General features: G+C 53.1%; 1 protein-coding gene and 1 long non-coding RNA gene across 9 annotated transcripts in view, besides 9 other annotated features; one reads left to right on the top strand and one right to left on the bottom strand.

Annotated features, from left to right (window-relative positions):
- Positions 1 to 16,188, top strand: part of MIDEAS (mitotic deacetylase associated SANT domain protein) — a 75,164-nt gene that overhangs the window by 38,474 nt on the left and 20,502 nt on the right. For all 8 annotated transcript variants that reach the window (XM_005268206.1, XM_047431913.1, XM_047431914.1 and 5 more), the window contains 2 exons: positions 11,557 to 13,252; positions 14,515 to 14,814. In XM_005268206.1, coding sequence (XP_005268263.1) covers positions 11,804 to 13,252; positions 14,515 to 14,814 — 1,749 coding nt within the window. In that variant the 5' untranslated portion in view covers positions 11,557 to 11,803. The remainder of the gene's footprint in view (positions 1 to 11,556; positions 13,253 to 14,514; positions 14,815 to 16,188) is intronic.
- Positions 4,322 to 4,835: an enhancer, noted in NCBI's record as "H3K27ac-H3K4me1 hESC enhancer chr14:74213680-74214193 (GRCh37/hg19 assembly coordinates)". NCBI's record gives its function as "activates a minimal SCP1, AML or CMV promoter by ChIP-STARR-seq in naive H9 embryonic stem cells {active_cell/tissue: H9 hESC(naive)}" and the evidence as "EXISTENCE:reporter gene assay evidence [ECO:0000049][PMID:30033119]".
- Positions 4,367 to 14,546, bottom strand: LOC124903345 (uncharacterized). Its single transcript, XR_007064264.1, has 3 exons — positions 14,480 to 14,546; positions 7,804 to 7,918; positions 4,367 to 4,601 (listed from the first exon to the last, which is right to left on the bottom strand). It is a non-coding gene; the product is annotated as an uncharacterized LOC124903345 (long non-coding RNA).
- Positions 4,836 to 5,350: an enhancer, noted in NCBI's record as "H3K27ac-H3K4me1 hESC enhancer chr14:74213165-74213679 (GRCh37/hg19 assembly coordinates)". NCBI's record gives its function as "activates a minimal SCP1, AML or CMV promoter by ChIP-STARR-seq in naive H9 embryonic stem cells {active_cell/tissue: H9 hESC(naive)}" and the evidence as "EXISTENCE:reporter gene assay evidence [ECO:0000049][PMID:30033119]".
- Positions 7,912 to 8,206: a silencer, noted in NCBI's record as "tiled region #4460; HepG2 Repressive non-DNase unmatched - State 19:H4K20". NCBI's record gives its function as "represses a minimal TATA promoter and a strong SV40 promoter by Sharpr-MPRA in HepG2 cells {active_cell/tissue: HepG2}" and the evidence as "EXISTENCE:reporter gene assay evidence [ECO:0000049][PMID:27701403]".
- Positions 9,334 to 9,503: an enhancer, noted in NCBI's record as "experimental_36600 CRE fragment used in MPRA reporter constructs". NCBI's record gives its function as "activates a minimal promoter by MPRAs in K562 erythroleukemia cells, with activity observed for both the introgressed and non-introgressed 14:74209097 or rs11624425 variant alleles {active_cell/tissue: K562}" and the evidence as "EXISTENCE:reporter gene assay evidence [ECO:0000049][PMID:34662402]".
- Positions 9,408 to 9,429: a transcriptional cis regulatory region, noted in NCBI's record as "22 bp fragment centered on rs11624425 that was deleted by CRISPR/Cas9 targeting". NCBI's record gives its function as "positively regulates MIDEAS (also known as ELMSAN1) and DNAL1 gene expression in K562 erythroleukemia cells {active_cell/tissue: K562}" and the evidence as "EXISTENCE:deletion mutation evidence [ECO:0005510][PMID:34662402]".
- Position 9,418: a transcriptional cis regulatory region, noted in NCBI's record as "Neanderthal adaptively introgressed variant 14:74209097 (GRCh37/hg19 assembly coordinates) or rs11624425 in the experimental_36600 CRE". NCBI's record gives its function as "modulates activity of the experimental_36600 enhancer by MPRAs in K562 erythroleukemia cells, with lower activity for the introgressed G variant {active_cell/tissue: K562}" and the evidence as "EXISTENCE:reporter gene assay evidence [ECO:0000049][PMID:34662402]".
- Positions 10,497 to 11,010: an enhancer, noted in NCBI's record as "H3K27ac-H3K4me1 hESC enhancer chr14:74207505-74208018 (GRCh37/hg19 assembly coordinates)". NCBI's record gives its function as "activates a minimal SCP1, AML or CMV promoter by ChIP-STARR-seq in naive H9 embryonic stem cells {active_cell/tissue: H9 hESC(naive)}" and the evidence as "EXISTENCE:reporter gene assay evidence [ECO:0000049][PMID:30033119]".
- Positions 11,011 to 11,526: an enhancer, noted in NCBI's record as "H3K27ac-H3K4me1 hESC enhancer chr14:74206989-74207504 (GRCh37/hg19 assembly coordinates)". NCBI's record gives its function as "activates a minimal SCP1, AML or CMV promoter by ChIP-STARR-seq in naive H9 embryonic stem cells {active_cell/tissue: H9 hESC(naive)}" and the evidence as "EXISTENCE:reporter gene assay evidence [ECO:0000049][PMID:30033119]".
- Positions 12,041 to 12,556: an enhancer, noted in NCBI's record as "H3K27ac-H3K4me1 hESC enhancer chr14:74205959-74206474 (GRCh37/hg19 assembly coordinates)". NCBI's record gives its function as "activates a minimal SCP1, AML or CMV promoter by ChIP-STARR-seq in naive H9 embryonic stem cells {active_cell/tissue: H9 hESC(naive)}" and the evidence as "EXISTENCE:reporter gene assay evidence [ECO:0000049][PMID:30033119]".

The following is a 16,188-nucleotide window of genomic DNA, read 5'->3' as shown; positions in this document are numbered from 1 at the left end:
TCTTCTGCCTCAGCCTCCCGAGTAGCTGGGATTACAGGTGTGCGCCACGATGCCTGGATAATTTTGTATTTTTAGTAGAGACAGAGTTTCTCCATGTTGGTCAGGCTGGTCTCATAAACTCCTGACCTCAGGTGGTCCAGCTGCTTTGGCCTCCCAAAGTGTTGGGATTACAAACGGGAGCCGCTGCATCCGGCCTGGCTTTATTTTTAAAGAGCTGTTGGCTAACCTCAGTTGTGGGGTTGGAGGGTGTGGAAGGGGTGTGACTTCCTCTTAGGCAAAGATGCCGAGCCCTCCACAGGTTGGCCCACTGGAGGTAATCACCTGTAGCCTCTTCACCTTCAAAGCCACTCACCTGCCCGGCCTCTCCCACCCACTTTACCCGACCAGCCACATCTCAGAACATCATGGTGGTTTTCAGGGGCTGAAGCTGCTCTCCAGGGAGCAGACGTGAGCAACCCAGAGGCTGCTGCTGTCTATCCCAGGCAGCCTGGTGTGACCTCCAAGTCTGAAACTCTTGGGGGAGGAAGTTTGCAGAACAGGCAGGCCTAGGTGCCAGTCCTGGCTTTGCCTCTATACTGCTGTGACCTTAGGCAAGTGATTTGACCTAAGGTCTTCTCAGATTTCTTGTTTAGAAAGGAGGAGTAATAATACCTACCTTGATGGCCTGGTGTGGTGGCTCACGCCTGTAATCTCAGCACTTTGGGAGGTTGAGTTGGGAGGATCCCTTGAGGCAAGGAGTTCAAGACCAGCCTGAGCAACAAAGTGAGACTCCATCTCTACAAAAATAATAATGATAATATCTACCTTTCTGTGAGATGATTACACAGGATAATGTGTGTAGTGTGCTTAGCACCATGCCTGGCACATAGTAGCACCTTCAATGGAAATTTTGGAGGTATTGATGAAGCCTTGTTTGTGTGATGTTGGGATAAACCTTGGCTCCATGCTTTGCCCAGTGTCTTGCCAAGTGGTGGGGCCTGCCTAAATGGAGGCATGAAGCATTGTTATTGGAGTCCTTGATTTTGCTCCTGGCTGTGTGTCCTCGGACGAGTTTATTTCCTTCTCTGGACTGCTCTGTGGAACGAGGAATTGGAGTAGGTAAACATTGACATCCCTTGATATTTGGAATCTGTTCAGCTTTCCCAGCTGGGCCCTGCTTTGCCAGTTGGCTCTGAAGAGAGGCCCAAGCCACCTTTCTCCATGTGGCATGGAGGCTTTTATTCCAGAGTGAGATGGTGCTGAGCCTGCAGCCTCCAGCTCACCTCTGCAGTCCCCCATACCTCAACACCCTTTGGGCTCTCTTGGCTTCCAGGGGCTTTTACAGATACCCCCAGTCTGGAGGGGAAACTGTTTCTGGCTGACTGGGGCTAGGATAATTTCTTAAGAGGAGTGTTAATAGACCATGCTGTGCTTGGAAATGCCCCCAGGGAAGAGCAGCAGCTCCGGAGCTGGCTTTGTGAAGTTCTCAAGTGTAGCATTCCTTCTGAGGCCCACCGGTGTAGATTTCAGATTTTTCTGGGAGGGTGGTGGAAAGAGCAAGGACTTGGAAGACACAAGATAAAGATTTGAATCTTGCTTCTGGCTCTGTAACAGCAGAGCCTCAACTTCCCTCTGGAGAATGAGGACATAAGACTCCTCCATAGGAGGTTTATAAGCATGGATTCGAATTTGTAGAGGACCCAGCCCAGCGAAGTACTCGTTAGCTCCCTTCTTTTGGGAAGGATCTGTCTTTTGGATATTTTGTAGATTGGCCATGGAAGTGGAAATATTTGCCTGTGGCCATTTTTCCTAGGGAAAAGCAGGGCTGCCTGACAAGCTGTTGCAATCCCAAAGGCCTCTCCATCCCCTAGTTGTTTTGATGTCGGGATCAAGCTTGGGGTCAGGTTCAATGTGTGTCTGGGAGAGGGGATACCCAGGCCTTTGCAAGTCTGAGCTCTGCGGCTGCCTAGGACTGTGACACCGAAGGTGTGGAGAACATGGGCTGAGGAGGGAGGGGCCTTTCTGAGCTGAGAGAACTTGGCAAGTTACTTTTAACCTTCGTTTCCTGTAAGTTTCCCAAATTTCCTTCGGTTATTGATTTCCAATTTCAACCCGTTTTGATTGGAGAACATACTTTGAGTGATTTCAGTCCCTTTAAATTTGTTGAGACTTGTCTTATGGCCTAATGATGATCTATTGTAGAGAGTGTTCCTTGTGCTATAAATATACATATATATATTTTATATATATATTATATTATATAATATATAAAAAAGTATGTATTTTTTATTTTTTCTGAGACTGGATCTTGGTCTTTCATGCACGCTGGATTGCAGAGGCATGAACACGGCTTACTGCAGCCTCAACCTCCTGGGCCCGAGCAATCCTCCTGCCTCAGCTTCCTGAGTAGCTGGGACTATAGTGGCCACCACACGCAGCTAATTTTTTTTTTTTTTTTTTTTGTAGAGACACGGTCTCGTTTTGTTGCCCAGGCTGGTCTTGAGCTCCTGGGCTCAAGTGATCCTCCTGGCCTTGGCCTCCCAAAATTTTGGGATTACAGGCACCACTGTGCCGGGCCTGCTCTTTTTTAAAAAGAAACAAAAAAACAGTTCACCTACAGCTGCAGTATCTGTGTGCTCTTGAGAAGAGTGTGTATTTGTGTGTATTTTGCTGTTGTTAGGTGGAGTGTTCTATATAGGTCTTCCAGGTCTAATTGGTTTATAGTGTCTAAATCTTCTATTTCCTTGTCGATCTTCTATTTAGTCGTACTGTTCGTTGTTGAAAGTAGAGTGTTTTCTCTCTCTCATGTGTATGTATAAAATAACATGAAAAAAAGTAGAGTATTGAAGTTTCCTACTGTTATTTGAGTTGTTCATTTTTTCCTTTCAATTCTGACAGTTTTTGCTTCATGTATTTTGGGGCTCTGTTGTTAGGTACATGCATGTCTATAACTGGTATAGCCTCCTGAGGGACGGACACTTTGTTCATTATAAAATATTCTTTGTCTATAATAACAGTTTTTGTCTTAAAGTCTATTTTGTCTGATTTTTTTTTTTTTTTTTTTGAGACGGAGTCTAGCTCTGTTGCCCAGGCTGGAGTGCAGTGGCGCGATCTTGGCTCACTGCAGCCTCCACCTCTCAGGTTCAAATAGTTCTCCTGTCTCAGCCTCCTGAGTAGCTGCGATTACAGGTGCCTGCCACCACATATTTTGTCTGATATTAGTATAGCCATTCTAGCTGTCTTTTGGTGACTGTTTACAATGGTATCTCTTTTTCCATCCCTTGCTTTCTTTTTTCTTTTTTGGTACAGAGTCTCACTGTGTTGCCCAGGCTGGAGTGCAGTGGCGCAATCTGGGCTCACTGCAACCTCCACCTCTTGGGTTCAAGCAATTCTCCTACCTCAGCCTCCCGAGTAGCTGGGACTGCAGGCGTGTGTCACCATGCCCTGCTAATTACTTTCAACCTATTTATATCTCTGAATGTAAAGGGTGTTTCTTTTTTTAATGAAATTGCATCTTTTTTAAAGAAGTCTGTTCTGCCATATAATTGCATATTTTTTTAAAAGTCCATTCTGCCAACCTCTGCCTTTTAGATATTTAATCCATTCACATTTAAAGTAATTATGGATAAGGTAGGATTTATGCTGCCATTTTGTGATTTGATTTCTGTATGTCTTATGTCTTTTTTATTCTTTTGTTCTTCTATTACTGTCTTCCTTTATGTTAAATAGATATTTTTGAGTATACCATTCCTGGTCTGTAAATAACGAGACACAGAACAGTAAGGGTTAAACAAAATGCTGCCTGCAATGGACTTAGCACAGTGCCTGGCAAATAGTAAGTGCTCAGTAAACATGGGCACTCAATTGGGTCCCAGGCGTGGTAAGAGCCACAGTTAACCCTAGGACTGGCTGAGAGCAGAGTCCCCTCAGGGCTCTGTGCGACCCCTCATGTCTCCTGGGCAGGCCATAGCACTCTGACAGGTAGTGCCTTTGGGGAATGGGGAGTGGTGGGTCCTGGGAAACTTCACTATGCCAGGCTGTGGCCCTTTAGCCCTTCCCCTGCTCCAGTGCATGGGCACCACCTGGCTGCTTGTGAAGCATCCTAGATTCCCCATCGTGCTCTTCCCACCCCCGACCCCCACCCCACCAGACCCATGAACTAGTCTCTCAGGGTGGGTTTTATTGCACACACTGAGGTTTAAGAACCACTGCTTGACATCCACACAGACGGGTATTGACACAGTGACAGAGAGAGACCTGGTTTGGGGTCAGGAGGCTTAGATTTGAATCTTGACTCCTCAGTCATGAGTTCTGTGAACTGGGACAAGTTACTTTCAGAGCCAGCCTTTCTCGTTTCTCAGTTGGAAATAAGTGGTTATGCAGATAAGCAGTACTCTCGCATATTCGGCATGCAGCTAGTCCTGGTGGCACTTGCTTTTTACAAAGGTGTTTCTTTGGTCCCTGGATACAGGTCTCTTCCCACCCCAGGCTCTTAAGCTCCTCAAAGGCAGGAACCAGTGAGTGGCGGCTCCTGGACCAGACATCTGGTTGGTTACCTGACAAACAGTCCACTGCCCTCCGTCTTGGATCATGTTGTCTCCAGGCCCTGCTGCTCCCAGGCTCTGTGCAGGAACAGAAGGGAATTGAAGAAGCATTATTGGATAGTGGTATAAGAGCATGAAGATTCAGAATGGGTGACAACAATATGTGCTGGAGGGCCAGCTGGAGGAGGTAGGCCTTGAGGGAAAGCAGATTGTGAGAGTGGAGGCAGGGCTTCCAGGCAGAAGGAACAGCTCTAGGGGAGGCTCAAAGTCAGGGAGCTCCCCCAGGGGTTGCCTGTCCCCAGGGGTCACTTACCCCTAGTCCCTGCACGGGCTTCCTTGCATTATAATTAGCGTGTGTTTCTGTTTCTCTGTCTCCCCACCGGCCTGGAAGCTCTGTGTCTCCTGTGTCTCCCAGAGCCTGGCTTGCAGCAAGTGCTCAGCAAATGCTTGTGGAGCAGATGAAGGGTCAGCAGGCCCACCTGCAGAGCTGCAGCAGGGAGGGTGTGTGGTGGGGGAGTGGGCAGGGCAAGGCAATGGCAAGGGAGGCCCCTGTGAGTGGCCTCATCTGTATCTTTGGCCCAGGGCAGAGTCTGGCACTGGGGTGCTCAGGCACAGACTTCAGAGAGCCCTGCTCTAGCCCTGCTGGGGAGCCAGGCCTTTCCAGAAGGGAAGGGAGGTAGTGCAGCAGCCTCCAGTGGTGGGAGCTGTATAGGGCATAGAGACTGTTTTGAGGAGACAGAGCAAGGACCCCAGCGGTCCCAGGAGGCCCTCACCAGAGGGCCTCAGGAACATCTGCTGAGTCTCCTGCGGAGGAAGCCTAAACCTGCCTGCTTCTACCCTACTCCTGCTGGGATCCCTGGGTCCTGTTGGAATGGGTTTTCCAGGGCTGCCTGTGACTCTTCGTGGCCTTTGCCTAGGAGGAAGGCAGGCAGTCCCTTCAGTGCAGGCAAAAGCTGAGCCTGGAGGCTTAATCCTTTTCTGGCTTTGCTCATGACTGTTTTCTCTCTGCATTAGCAGCCCCCACCTCCCCCACCCCTGGCAAAACAAACCTGGCTATCCCAGCTTCCCATGGACACCCTGTGGGCATTTGTGGGGCTATGGGGGAGGGAGGCAATCAAGGTAGAAGACTGGACGGAGCCCTGAGAGTGCCTCATAAGCCCTGAAAGGATTCCTCTCTTACACATCCCTTTAAAAGCATCTCAGTGGTTGGCATTTTTACTGTGTAAGCTCAAACTTCAGGCAGCTTGAACCCTGGCCAAGCTTCTGATCCTGAGCAGCTTGATGGCTGAGACCCCTGGGACTCGTGACTCTCTGGCCTGTTGGCCTGGGCTCTGCTTTTCAGAGCTGAAGTTCAGTCCAGAGAAGTGATGGTCCAGGGACTGTCTGGATTGGGAATGGGCCGACCATAGGGCCTCTTGCCTGCTCTCTCATGCTCCCAGGGAAAATGACACTTGTGGGAGTCAGATCCACGTCTGTTGTATCAGAGCCTCCTTGTTTGCAAACCCCTTGAGAATAGTGCTTATGTGTCCAGTGGCTTGCAGAAATGGGGTACACTGGCCTTTGTGTGAAGTCCCAGTTGGTGGGGGTGCATGTAGCATTGCAGATGGGGTCCAGAGGGAAGGTTTGTCTAGGGCCTGGGCAACTCTAGCTGGCCCAAGATGGCAGTTCCAGGCCATTTACCGAGTCTGGCTATAGCTGGAGACCCCAGAATGTCTGAGAGAGCTTTTCAGGATGTGAGCCCAGATGAGGGGGCCAGCTGGGCCATGCTGTGCTCCTCTGGTGGGGGTGGCAGGGACTTGTTATGGCTCCCTGGCATCCTGGCCAGACCTTAGTGTCTTGAGGTCCAGCCATGTCAGGGCATGAGGTAAACAGACCCACAGGCTTGTGTCCCTGGCCACTGTCTAGGTGGGGGTAGAAGCCTAGAAAAGTGGGGTGGAGGGCAACAGTGGAGCTGGCACTTTTCCAGTTGGCCTGCATGTGTTGTGGGGCAGCAGGTGACAGTCAAGGGCAGGTGGCTTGTGGGCCAGCAGGGAGAAGGACTTGTGTTCCACATAGGTGTAGAGGGCCTGGGGCCAGGGGTAGGGTGGGATCCCGGGCTGGGCCTTTTCACTTCATCCCAGCATCTTGAGGAGCTCTCATGTGCACCAGAGAGCCCAGAAGTCAGGAGCAGGCAGGAGCCCAGGGCAGGAATGCGGGCTGTGTCGCCTCTGCCCAGGTGTGGCTCTGACTCACCTTGGGCGCAGTCTTGAATGAGCATCCTGACAGGCAGATACAAACCAAGTGCCAAGGTACAACGGTCTGCCAACCCTGCCCCGTGGAGCCTGCTGTCTGCTGGGGATGACAAAGCAGGCACCTGGGATTTAGTGTGCCATATACAGTGTGTTATAGGGGCTTGTAGTTCAGCTCCTGTCTCAGCTCTGGGGTCAGGTTTCCCAGTGGAAGCAGTGTCTGCAACCTGAAGGATTAATAGGACCTGGCCTGATGAAAAGAGTGAGAAGGTGTCCTAGGAAGGGGTACAGCCTGGCCAAAGACCTGGAAGCAAAGCGAGAAGAACACGTTGGAGGCCCTGGCTCAAGCACAGACTGTCGAGAGAGGTGGCAGGAGCCAAGGTCTGCAGGGACTTGTGGACAGGGCAGGGAGTTTAGACTTTGTCCTAAGACAGCTCAGAGAACTGACTCGCCTGGAGACTCAGTTTGGGCCTGTCTTGCCCTTGGGTGACAGACCCATGATCTTTGACTCCCCTCTTCCTAGTGCTGAGCTTGTGGGGCCTGCCCAGGCTATAAGAGTGGGAGCTTGGAGCATTAGCCTCCAAGGGCAGGGGGCCCTCGGGTCAGCTGTTATCCCCAGGTCAGAGCTGAGCCCCCGCAGCTGCTGAGATCAACTTGGCATCTCCTCCCTGGTCTGTGTGGCCTTGACTCACAATAGTCTTTTTTCTCAAATGGACACACTGATTGCCCCAAGCAGACTGGTGAGTGGCCCTGGTCCCACAGTGGCCACAGTCTGGCCCCTTGCCCTGTGGTGATGGCTCTCTGGCTTCTCCTGGGGTCAGCCAGCCAGTGTTGGGTGTGCAGCTGGGCTGCCGATGGCATTTGGGGAGCAGTGTGTGTTTGAGCTGACATCCCAGGAGAGCTGGTGTCACCATCAGCATTGAACACCCAAAGGCCTTTCCAGCACCTTCCCCTCATGTGTCTGCAAAACATATATGTGGGGTCAGCACTGTTTTTTATTTTTTTTTCCTGGTGCACACTGCTTTCTTCTATAGAGAGTAAGTGCTACTCACCATAGAACTTCCTGAAAGCCTGCTAGGTCCCAGGCCTTGGTCTTGATTGTTGCCTTGTCTTTGGCCCAGGGGTACCTGTGGGTCTGGTCAAGGATTGGTTGCTGCAGAGAGGAGCCTGGAGGAAGGGAAAAGTGAATAGAGCGTGACAGTCAAACAGACTGACAGGGCGGGTTGCCGTGTCTGGGGCCCCGTGGTGACTGTGGGTTTCCTTTTGCAGTGTTCCTGCATCCGTTGTCAGAGGCCCTGCAGCTGGTCCCAGGGCTGAGCTGCTGGCAGGAGTTCCTCATGACATCCTCTTCCCTGCAATCTCAGGGACTAGGCCCACAGGTCAGCAGCCTTTGGAGGTGTCGTCCTTCCTCTTCCTCACTGTGAGGAAGGGCAGTTTGATTTCCATCTGAGGGACAGGGCAGCGGGGGTGGGGTAGAAGAAATGAGAGGAAGTGGCGCAGTCCTGACCCCGAGTTGCAGGCTGGGAGAAGCCCATGGGGTCTGAGAGCTGGAGGCACCACCAGCAGCAACTGAGCCCGGGGTGGGGTTGCAGGAGCTGGAGAGTCCAGGCCTAGATCGGGGGCTAGAGTGGCCAGTGCAGGAGGAAGTGTTTCAGGCCTCCCTGCAGGTAGACCTCACACATCTGCTGACCCCTCTGTGGTGAGACCTTTTCCTGCTCTCCCTTCCTGGAAGGCCAAGGGTCTCAGCTGTATTTGGGGAGAATGGGAGAGAGTACCTGCCAAAGGTTCAGGCAGGGGTAAGGGGCTTCCCAGTGCCAATGAGAAGGGATATCTGATATCTGTGTCTAGAAAATCCTTGCTTGGAGGTGGTGTAGAGTGTGCTGTGGAAGGGAGGTGTATGAAGAGGGGTCTGGGGTCTTAGTGGCATATCTTGGGGATAAGGAAGAAGAGCTTGATCTTAGAGTCAGACAGATCTGGGTTCCAGTCTTGGCTCTGCAACATAATGACTGTGTGACCGTAGGCAACTTACTTAGCTCCTCTGAGCCTCATCTAGCTAACCTGTAAATAGAGGTTAAAATCGCAACTCCTGCCTTATAAGGCCATGGTGGGAATTTAAAGGATATAAAGCACGTAGGATCTGCCTGGCACGGGTGCACCATCACCATCATCATTACTCCTATGACTACTTAGTGCCCTGCTGCCTAGGTGTGCCTCTTCACCCTTCCTCCCAGGCTGCCAGTATCTTCCACTCTTCTCCCCACCCCCAGCCGATGACCTTTCTTCTCTGAGGGTCCCAGGCCTGACTGTCTGTGCCCCTGGCACCCTTAGCTCTTCGGTGAGGGTGACAGGGAGGCCTCTGCAGCAAGAAGTTTCTGGGGTGATTCAGCCTTCCCCAAACCAGGCCCCCTGATTTCTTCAAAGCAAGTCCCTGTCTGAGCTTCAGAGGCTGCTGTGGTATCCTGAATGATGGCCCTCCTTGATGTGCAGGGTGGGAGTGGGAGGCTTCCCAGCTGAGCTCAGCTCCTCCAGGGCTGACCATACAGCTGTGGGTAAGCCCCTGTAAGACCTGCATCTGGCCTCTGGCCCCTGCCCTGGGCAGAAGCAGGCTTGTCCTGGAGCCGCAGGCCCCGCCTCATCTCCTTCTGAGCAGCCATCCCCATGGAGGGGGCGCACCCCTCCATCAGGTTCACACTGGCACGTGCATCCAGGCCCACCCGCCACGTGGACCTTCCCTTGCTCCAGGCCTCAAGCCCGTGCTGTGGCTCACAAGGAGACAGGGCTGTGATGAAGGGAGGCGTGAGTGTGTGTGAGCGCCCACTGGAGGGGCTCGCAGCCCCCTGGAGGCACGTGGGCTTGCCAGGCTGGCGCACATTCTTCCTTTCTCTGTCTTGCTTCTGCAGACACGCACTTCTAGTTCTGTGGGCTTGATGTTCCCTCGGAGAGGCGGAGCCAGACAGTCCCACCCTGCAGCTTCATGGGGGTGCCCAGGGTGATTTTCAGTGCAGGGTTTAGCTTTTGGGTTCCTGCTCTGAATTAGGTTGGCTGTCAGGGAATGCGGGTTTAAAAGCAAGAGAAAGGTTGTTTCTGCAGCCCGCAGCTCTGCACTTCTTGTCCAAATCCCCCCACTCCCCTCTTGCTGGGGGTGAGGGTGACTTGGATGCCCTCCTAGTCTCTGTGCCTCTCCCTCCCTCCAGCTTCATATATGAAAAGACAAAGGCTGCACACGAGGAGGGTCTCTTACTCTCTTCAAGGCCCAGGAGCTGAGGAAGGAAATGGAGGAGGAAATTACTCCCCTTCTGGGTGCTGGGTGAAAGTGAAAGATAGGGAGGGGGCCCTCAGTGAGTCACGCAGGCGGGCAGGAGGCAGGCAGGCTCCAGGAGCACAGGGGCTGGGGAGCTGCGGAAGCCTGCAGAGGAGCGATAGCCTGGGAGGGGCATTCCTGGTGCTGGGGGTGGGCCGAACTGCAAACTGGGTATAGTCGGGACCCTGTGCCCGCCCAGCCCTGCCCTCCGCTGCTGCTGGCTGGTTTCCTGGGAGCGGCTGGGGTTGCTAACAATGACCTGTAGCATCTAGGGCCTGAGATTTCCTCTTCAGAGCCGCCCGAGCTGTTTTCCCCTCTTCCTAGGGACCAGAATCTTACTGGGGAAAGAGGTGGGCTATGTAGCTCCCACCCCCACCAACTTCCCAGGAAAAAAACAAAACCCAAACATCACTCTGAGGGAAAGAAAAGTCTTGAAAAATACATGCAAGCAGCTATGCTATAAAATACAGGTCTAGATTCTGTTCTGTAGCGACTGCTTTAAAAAATCAAGTTACGAAACAAAAATGGAAAAACTGTGTACTTAAGTCATGACATTATCGTGGAGAAACCTTCTGGAACTGAGTTCTAGCAATCTGCACCCTCTACGATCTGAGTTACACTATTTGCCAGGGGCTCTTCGGCAGTGGAAGGGGCAGGGGTCAGGCAGGGGCGGGGTCAGCTGCTGACCAGCTCTTGGCCTGGATCCTGCCTCCACCCTGCCAGGGTTGCAAAACAGGTTCTGTGCTAGTTTGGGAAAGACTCTGGCAGCCACAGCCCCACCCAGCAGCTCTTCCCAGGGGTGGGGCTAGGACTGCACACACCCTTCTGGGGCCTTACCTGCAGGCCTTGGTGAGCCTGACCCTGGGCCCCTGACTCTACAAGGGTCTGTTGGAGCTCCTGACTCTGGGGCTGCACAGGAGGAGTGGCCACGTCGGGAATGACCCTGTCCTCTCCACTTCCCGAGCCTGAGATGTGCTTGGAGTGTCAGAGGAGGCACTGGCTGGACAAAGATCCTTCTGGGTCTGGTGGGAGGCTCCTGCATAGACAGATGTGTGCCAGGAGGACTAGGCCTGGCTGCCCAGGGGGCTAGGGCCTGGGTAAGAGGAGAGGGGAGCCAGTGTGGCTTTTGCTGCCTCTTTCTCAGCTGGGCTGGAGGGGCTTGGGCTGGATGTCAGCTCCACCTGTGCCTTAGAATGTGCCTATGCAGTGCACAAATAACACAGACAGATGCAGGCAGTCCTGGAGCGGAACCAGGAGGGTGAGGTGGTGGGACAAGAGAGTCACAGTGCCCTGGGAGATGCAGCTGATTCTCCTGCCCTCCTGGCAGCTCCCCAAAAGTCCTGGCTCCTGCCTCACCAATGCTGCTCTGTGACTTGGGGCCTGTCCCTGTGATATGAGGTGGTGGGACCGAAGGCCCTTGGAGCCCCTTTTCTTACACTTGTGCTGATGTTCGGGGCATCCTGGGAGGCTGTGGCTGACACTGTCACTGCTCTTCCCTCTGCAGGTGCCAGAACCCTGTGGAGCATCATGAACTGGGAAGAGTAGCTGAGCCCCAGAGCCTCTCTGGAAGAGAAAGGAAGAGCCAGCAGTTCTTTCTCCCAGTGTCCGACCTCACTGTCCAGCGTCTTCCTCTGCCCCTGCTCTGCCCTCCCTGGCTCCTGGACTAGAGCCCGGCTTCCAGCAGGACGTTTCCCCAGGGGATGGGCGACTGTTGAAGGGGATCTCACCGCCAGGGCTCAGTTGGCCACATCATGAACCTCCAGGCCCAGCCCAAGGCTCAGAACAAGCGGAAGCGTTGCCTCTTCGGGGGCCAGGAACCAGCTCCCAAGGAGCAGCCCCCTCCCCTGCAGCCCCCCCAGCAGTCCATCAGAGTGAAGGAGGAGCAGTACCTCGGGCACGAGGGTCCAGGAGGGGCAGTCTCCACCTCTCAGCCTGTGGAACTGCCCCCTCCTAGCAGCCTGGCCCTGCTGAACTCTGTGGTATATGGGCCTGAGCGGACCTCAGCAGCCATGCTGTCCCAGCAGGTGGCCTCAGTAAAGTGGCCCAACTCTGTGATGGCTCCAGGGCGGGGCCCGGAGCGTGGAGGAGGTGGGGGTGTCAGTGACAGCAGCTGGCAGCAGCAGCCAGGCCAGCCTCCACCCCATTCAACATGGAACTGCCACAGTCTGTCCCTCTACAGTGCAACCAAGGGGAGCCCGCATCCTGGAGTGGGAGTCCCGACTTACTATAACCACCCTGAGGCACTGAAGCGGGAGAAAGCGGGGGGCCCACAGCTGGACCGCTATGTGCGACCAATGATGCCACAGAAGGTGCAGCTGGAGGTAGGGCGGCCCCAGGCACCCCTGAATTCTTTCCACGCAGCCAAGAAACCCCCAAACCAGTCACTGCCCCTGCAACCCTTCCAGCTGGCATTCGGCCACCAGGTGAACCGGCAGGTCTTCCGGCAGGGCCCACCGCCCCCAAACCCGGTGGCTGCCTTCCCTCCACAGAAGCAGCAGCAGCAGCAGCAACCACAGCAGCAGCAGCAGCAGCAGCAGGCAGCCCTACCCCAGATGCCGCTCTTTGAGAACTTCTATTCCATGCCGCAGCAACCCTCGCAGCAACCCCAGGACTTTGGCCTGCAGCCAGCTGGGCCACTGGGACAGTCCCACCTGGCTCACCACAGCATGGCACCCTACCCCTTCCCCCCCAACCCAGATATGAACCCAGAACTGCGCAAGGCCCTTCTGCAGGACTCAGCCCCGCAGCCAGCGCTACCTCAGGTCCAGATCCCCTTCCCCCGCCGCTCCCGCCGCCTCTCTAAGGAGGGTATCCTGCCTCCCAGCGCCCTGGATGGGGCTGGCACCCAGCCTGGGCAGGAGGCCACTGGCAACCTGTTCCTACATCACTGGCCCCTGCAGCAGCCGCCACCTGGCTCCCTGGGGCAGCCCCATCCTGAAGCTCTGGGATTCCCGCTGGAGCTGAGGGAGTCGCAGCTACTGCCTGATGGGGAGAGACTAGCACCCAATGGCCGGGAGCGAGAGGCTCCTGCCATGGGCAGCGAGGAGGGCATGAGGGCAGTGAGCACAGGGGACTGTGGGCAGGTGCTACGGGGCGGAGTGATCCAGAGCACGCGACGGAGGCGCCGGGCATCCCAGGAGGCCAATTTGCTGACCCTGGCCCAGAAGGCTGTGGAGCTGGCCTCACTGCAGAATGCAAAGGTGAGAGTGGCATGCAGTGGAGCCACACCTGGCAGAGGGCATCAGGCTGATAGGTGGGCGGCTGCAGGATTTGCTTCTTGCCTAGGGAAAGCCAGACTTTGCCCTAGCCAGCTGCCTGTGGGAAAACAGTACAAAGACCACCCTTCACCTTGCCACAGGGTTCTTGCTTACTTTCTTTTGCAGAAATATTTTTTGAATAATTAGATACTATTTCAGATACAGATAGATACAGATCACCGGGTTCAAGTGATTCTCCAGCCTCAGCCTCCCCGAGTAGCTGGGATTACAGGCGCCTGCCACCATGCCTGGCTAATTTTTGTATTTTTAGTAGAGACAGGGTTTTACCATGTTGGTCAGGCTGGTCTCGAACTCCTGACCTCGTGATCTGCCTGCCTCAGCCCCCCAAAGTGCTAGGATTACAGGCGTGAGCCACCGTGTCCAGCCAGAAGCACTTTCTATAGAAGAGAACAGTGTGAGGCTAGGCGCAGTGGCTTATGCCTATAATCCCAGCACTTTGGGAGGCCAAGGTGGGTGGATCACTTGAGGTCAGGAGTTGGGAGACCAGCCTGGCCAACACAGCAAAACCCTATCTCTACCAAAAAACACAAAAATTAGCCAGGTGTGGTACTGCACGCCTGTAATCCCAGCTACTGGGGAGGCTGAGGTGGGAGAATCATTAGAACCTGGGAGGCAGAGGTTGCAGTGAACCAAGATTGTGCCACTGCACTACAACCTGGGTGACAGAGTGAGACCCCCTGTCTCCAAAAAAAAAAAAAAAAAAAAAAAGTGGTCGGAGAAAAGGTAGTCAGGGAAAAAGGTCAAGTTGTGAGACCACTGGGAGCCACTGTGGGTGTTTGAGTCCCGTGACTAAATGGGAATGAGGGTCCTAGATCAAATCAGAATTTATCTTTTATTTGTTTATTTATTTATTATTGAGACAGGGTCTCACTCTGTCACCCAGGCTGGAGTGCAGTGGTTCGATCTCGGCTCACCGCAGCCTTAACTTCCTGGGCTCAGGCAATCCTCCCACCTCTGCCTCCCAAGTAGCTGGGACCACAGGAGTTTGCCACCATGCCCAGCTAATTTTGTTTTATTTTCTGTAGAGACGAGGTGTCACTATGTTGCCCAGGCTGGTCTTGAACTTGTGGCGTCAAGTGATCCTTTAATCTTGTCCTCCCAAAGTGCAGGAATTATAGGCGTGAGCCACTGCGCCTGGCTATGACTTACCTTTTAAATTGCACTTCTGTTCCCATCTTGTCCAGGATGGCAGTGGTTCTGAAGAGAAGCGGAAAAGTGTATTGGCCTCAACTACCAAGTGTGGGGTGGAGTTTTCTGAGCCTTCCTTAGCCACCAAGCGAGCACGAGAAGACAGTGGGATGGTACCCCTCATCATCCCAGTGTCTGTGCCTGTGCGAACTGTGGACCCAACTGAGGCAGCCCAGGCTGGAGGTCTTGATGAGGACGGGAAGGGTCCTGAACAGAACCCTGCTGAGCACAAGCCATCAGTCATCGTCACCCGCAGGCGGTCCACCCGAATCCCCGGGACAGATGCTCAAGCTCAGGTATGAGAGGCGCCCCTTCTAAACACCTCCAGCGCGTGAGTGCTCAGGGGGCCCAGGACCCTATGGGGAAAGGAGAACATGGCAATGTAGGAAGGTATCAGGGAACCTGTGGAGATACTATTTTTATTTTCCAAACCAAACTTCTGGACAGACGTCCAGAAGGGGCATTTGGAGATGTCCCCCTCCTAATGGGGGATGAGACAGTTTTATACTTGAAATTGAAACTGCCTAGAATTGAATTCTAGGTTGTGTACATCTCTTTTTCCAGATCAGCAAATTCTGATTTGGCCCGTGCTGGGTGCTGGGAATGAGAGGTGTTTGCTTGTACTGTCACTACTGAGATCTTGACATCTTTTTTTTTTTTTCTGAGGCAGAGTCTTGCTCTGTCACCCAGGCTGGAGTGTAGTGGCGCAATCTCGGCTCACTGCAACCTCCGCCTCCTGGGTTCACACCATTCTCCTGCCTCAGCCTCCCGAGTAGCTGGGACTATAGGCGCCCACCACCGCGCCCAGCTAATTTTTTGTATTTTTAGTAGAGATGGGGTTTCACCATGTTAGCCAGGATGGTCTCGATCTCCTGACCTCGTGATCCGCCCACCTCAGCCTCCTAGAGTTTTGGGATTACAGGTGTGAGCCACCGCGCCTGGCCGACATCTCCTTCTAAGATTGAGGTTTTGCCTACTTTTTCTTTAGGTTCTGTCATCATTTGTTTTATACATTTTGATGCAATGTTATTAGGTGCTCATTTAGAACTAGGTTAGATACTTTATGAAGTTTCTTTTTATCTTAAATATTCTTTTTGCCTTTTATTCTCATTTTATTCTTATTTATTTTATTTTATTTTTTTGAGATAGAGTTTCGCTCTTGTCCTCCAGGCTGGAGTGCAATGGCGAGATCTCAGCTCACTGCAACCTCCTGGGTTCAAGAGATTCTCCTGCCTCAGCCTCCTTAGTAGCTGGGATTACAGGCATGCATCACGAAGCCTGGCTAATTTTCGTATTTTTAGTAGAGGCGGGGTTTCACCATGTTGGCCAGGTTAGTCTTGAACTCCTGACCTCAAGTGACCTGCCCGCCTTGGCCTCCCAAAGTGTTAGGATTGCAGAGGTGGGCCACCGCACCCGGCCAATTCTTACTTTACATGAGTAAAGTTATGAGATACAAGTGTGATTTTGTAACACGCATAGATGGTGTAGTGGTGAAGTCAGGGCTATCAGGGTATCCATATCTATTCCCCAAATAATGCACATTGTACCTATTAAGTAATTTCTCATCATCCACCCTTTTTGTCTTTTAAAGTCAGGTTTGTCTGATATCTTGCTTGCTTTTGGTTAGAATCTGCAGGGTGCATCTTCTCCCATCATTTACTGTTATCTTT

Source organism: Homo sapiens, chromosome 14 (assembly GCF_000001405.40).
Source record: "Homo sapiens chromosome 14, GRCh38.p14 Primary Assembly".
NCBI lineage: Eukaryota > Metazoa > Chordata > Mammalia > Primates > Hominidae > Homo > Homo sapiens.
This window is presented reverse-complemented; position numbering and strand designations above follow the sequence as displayed.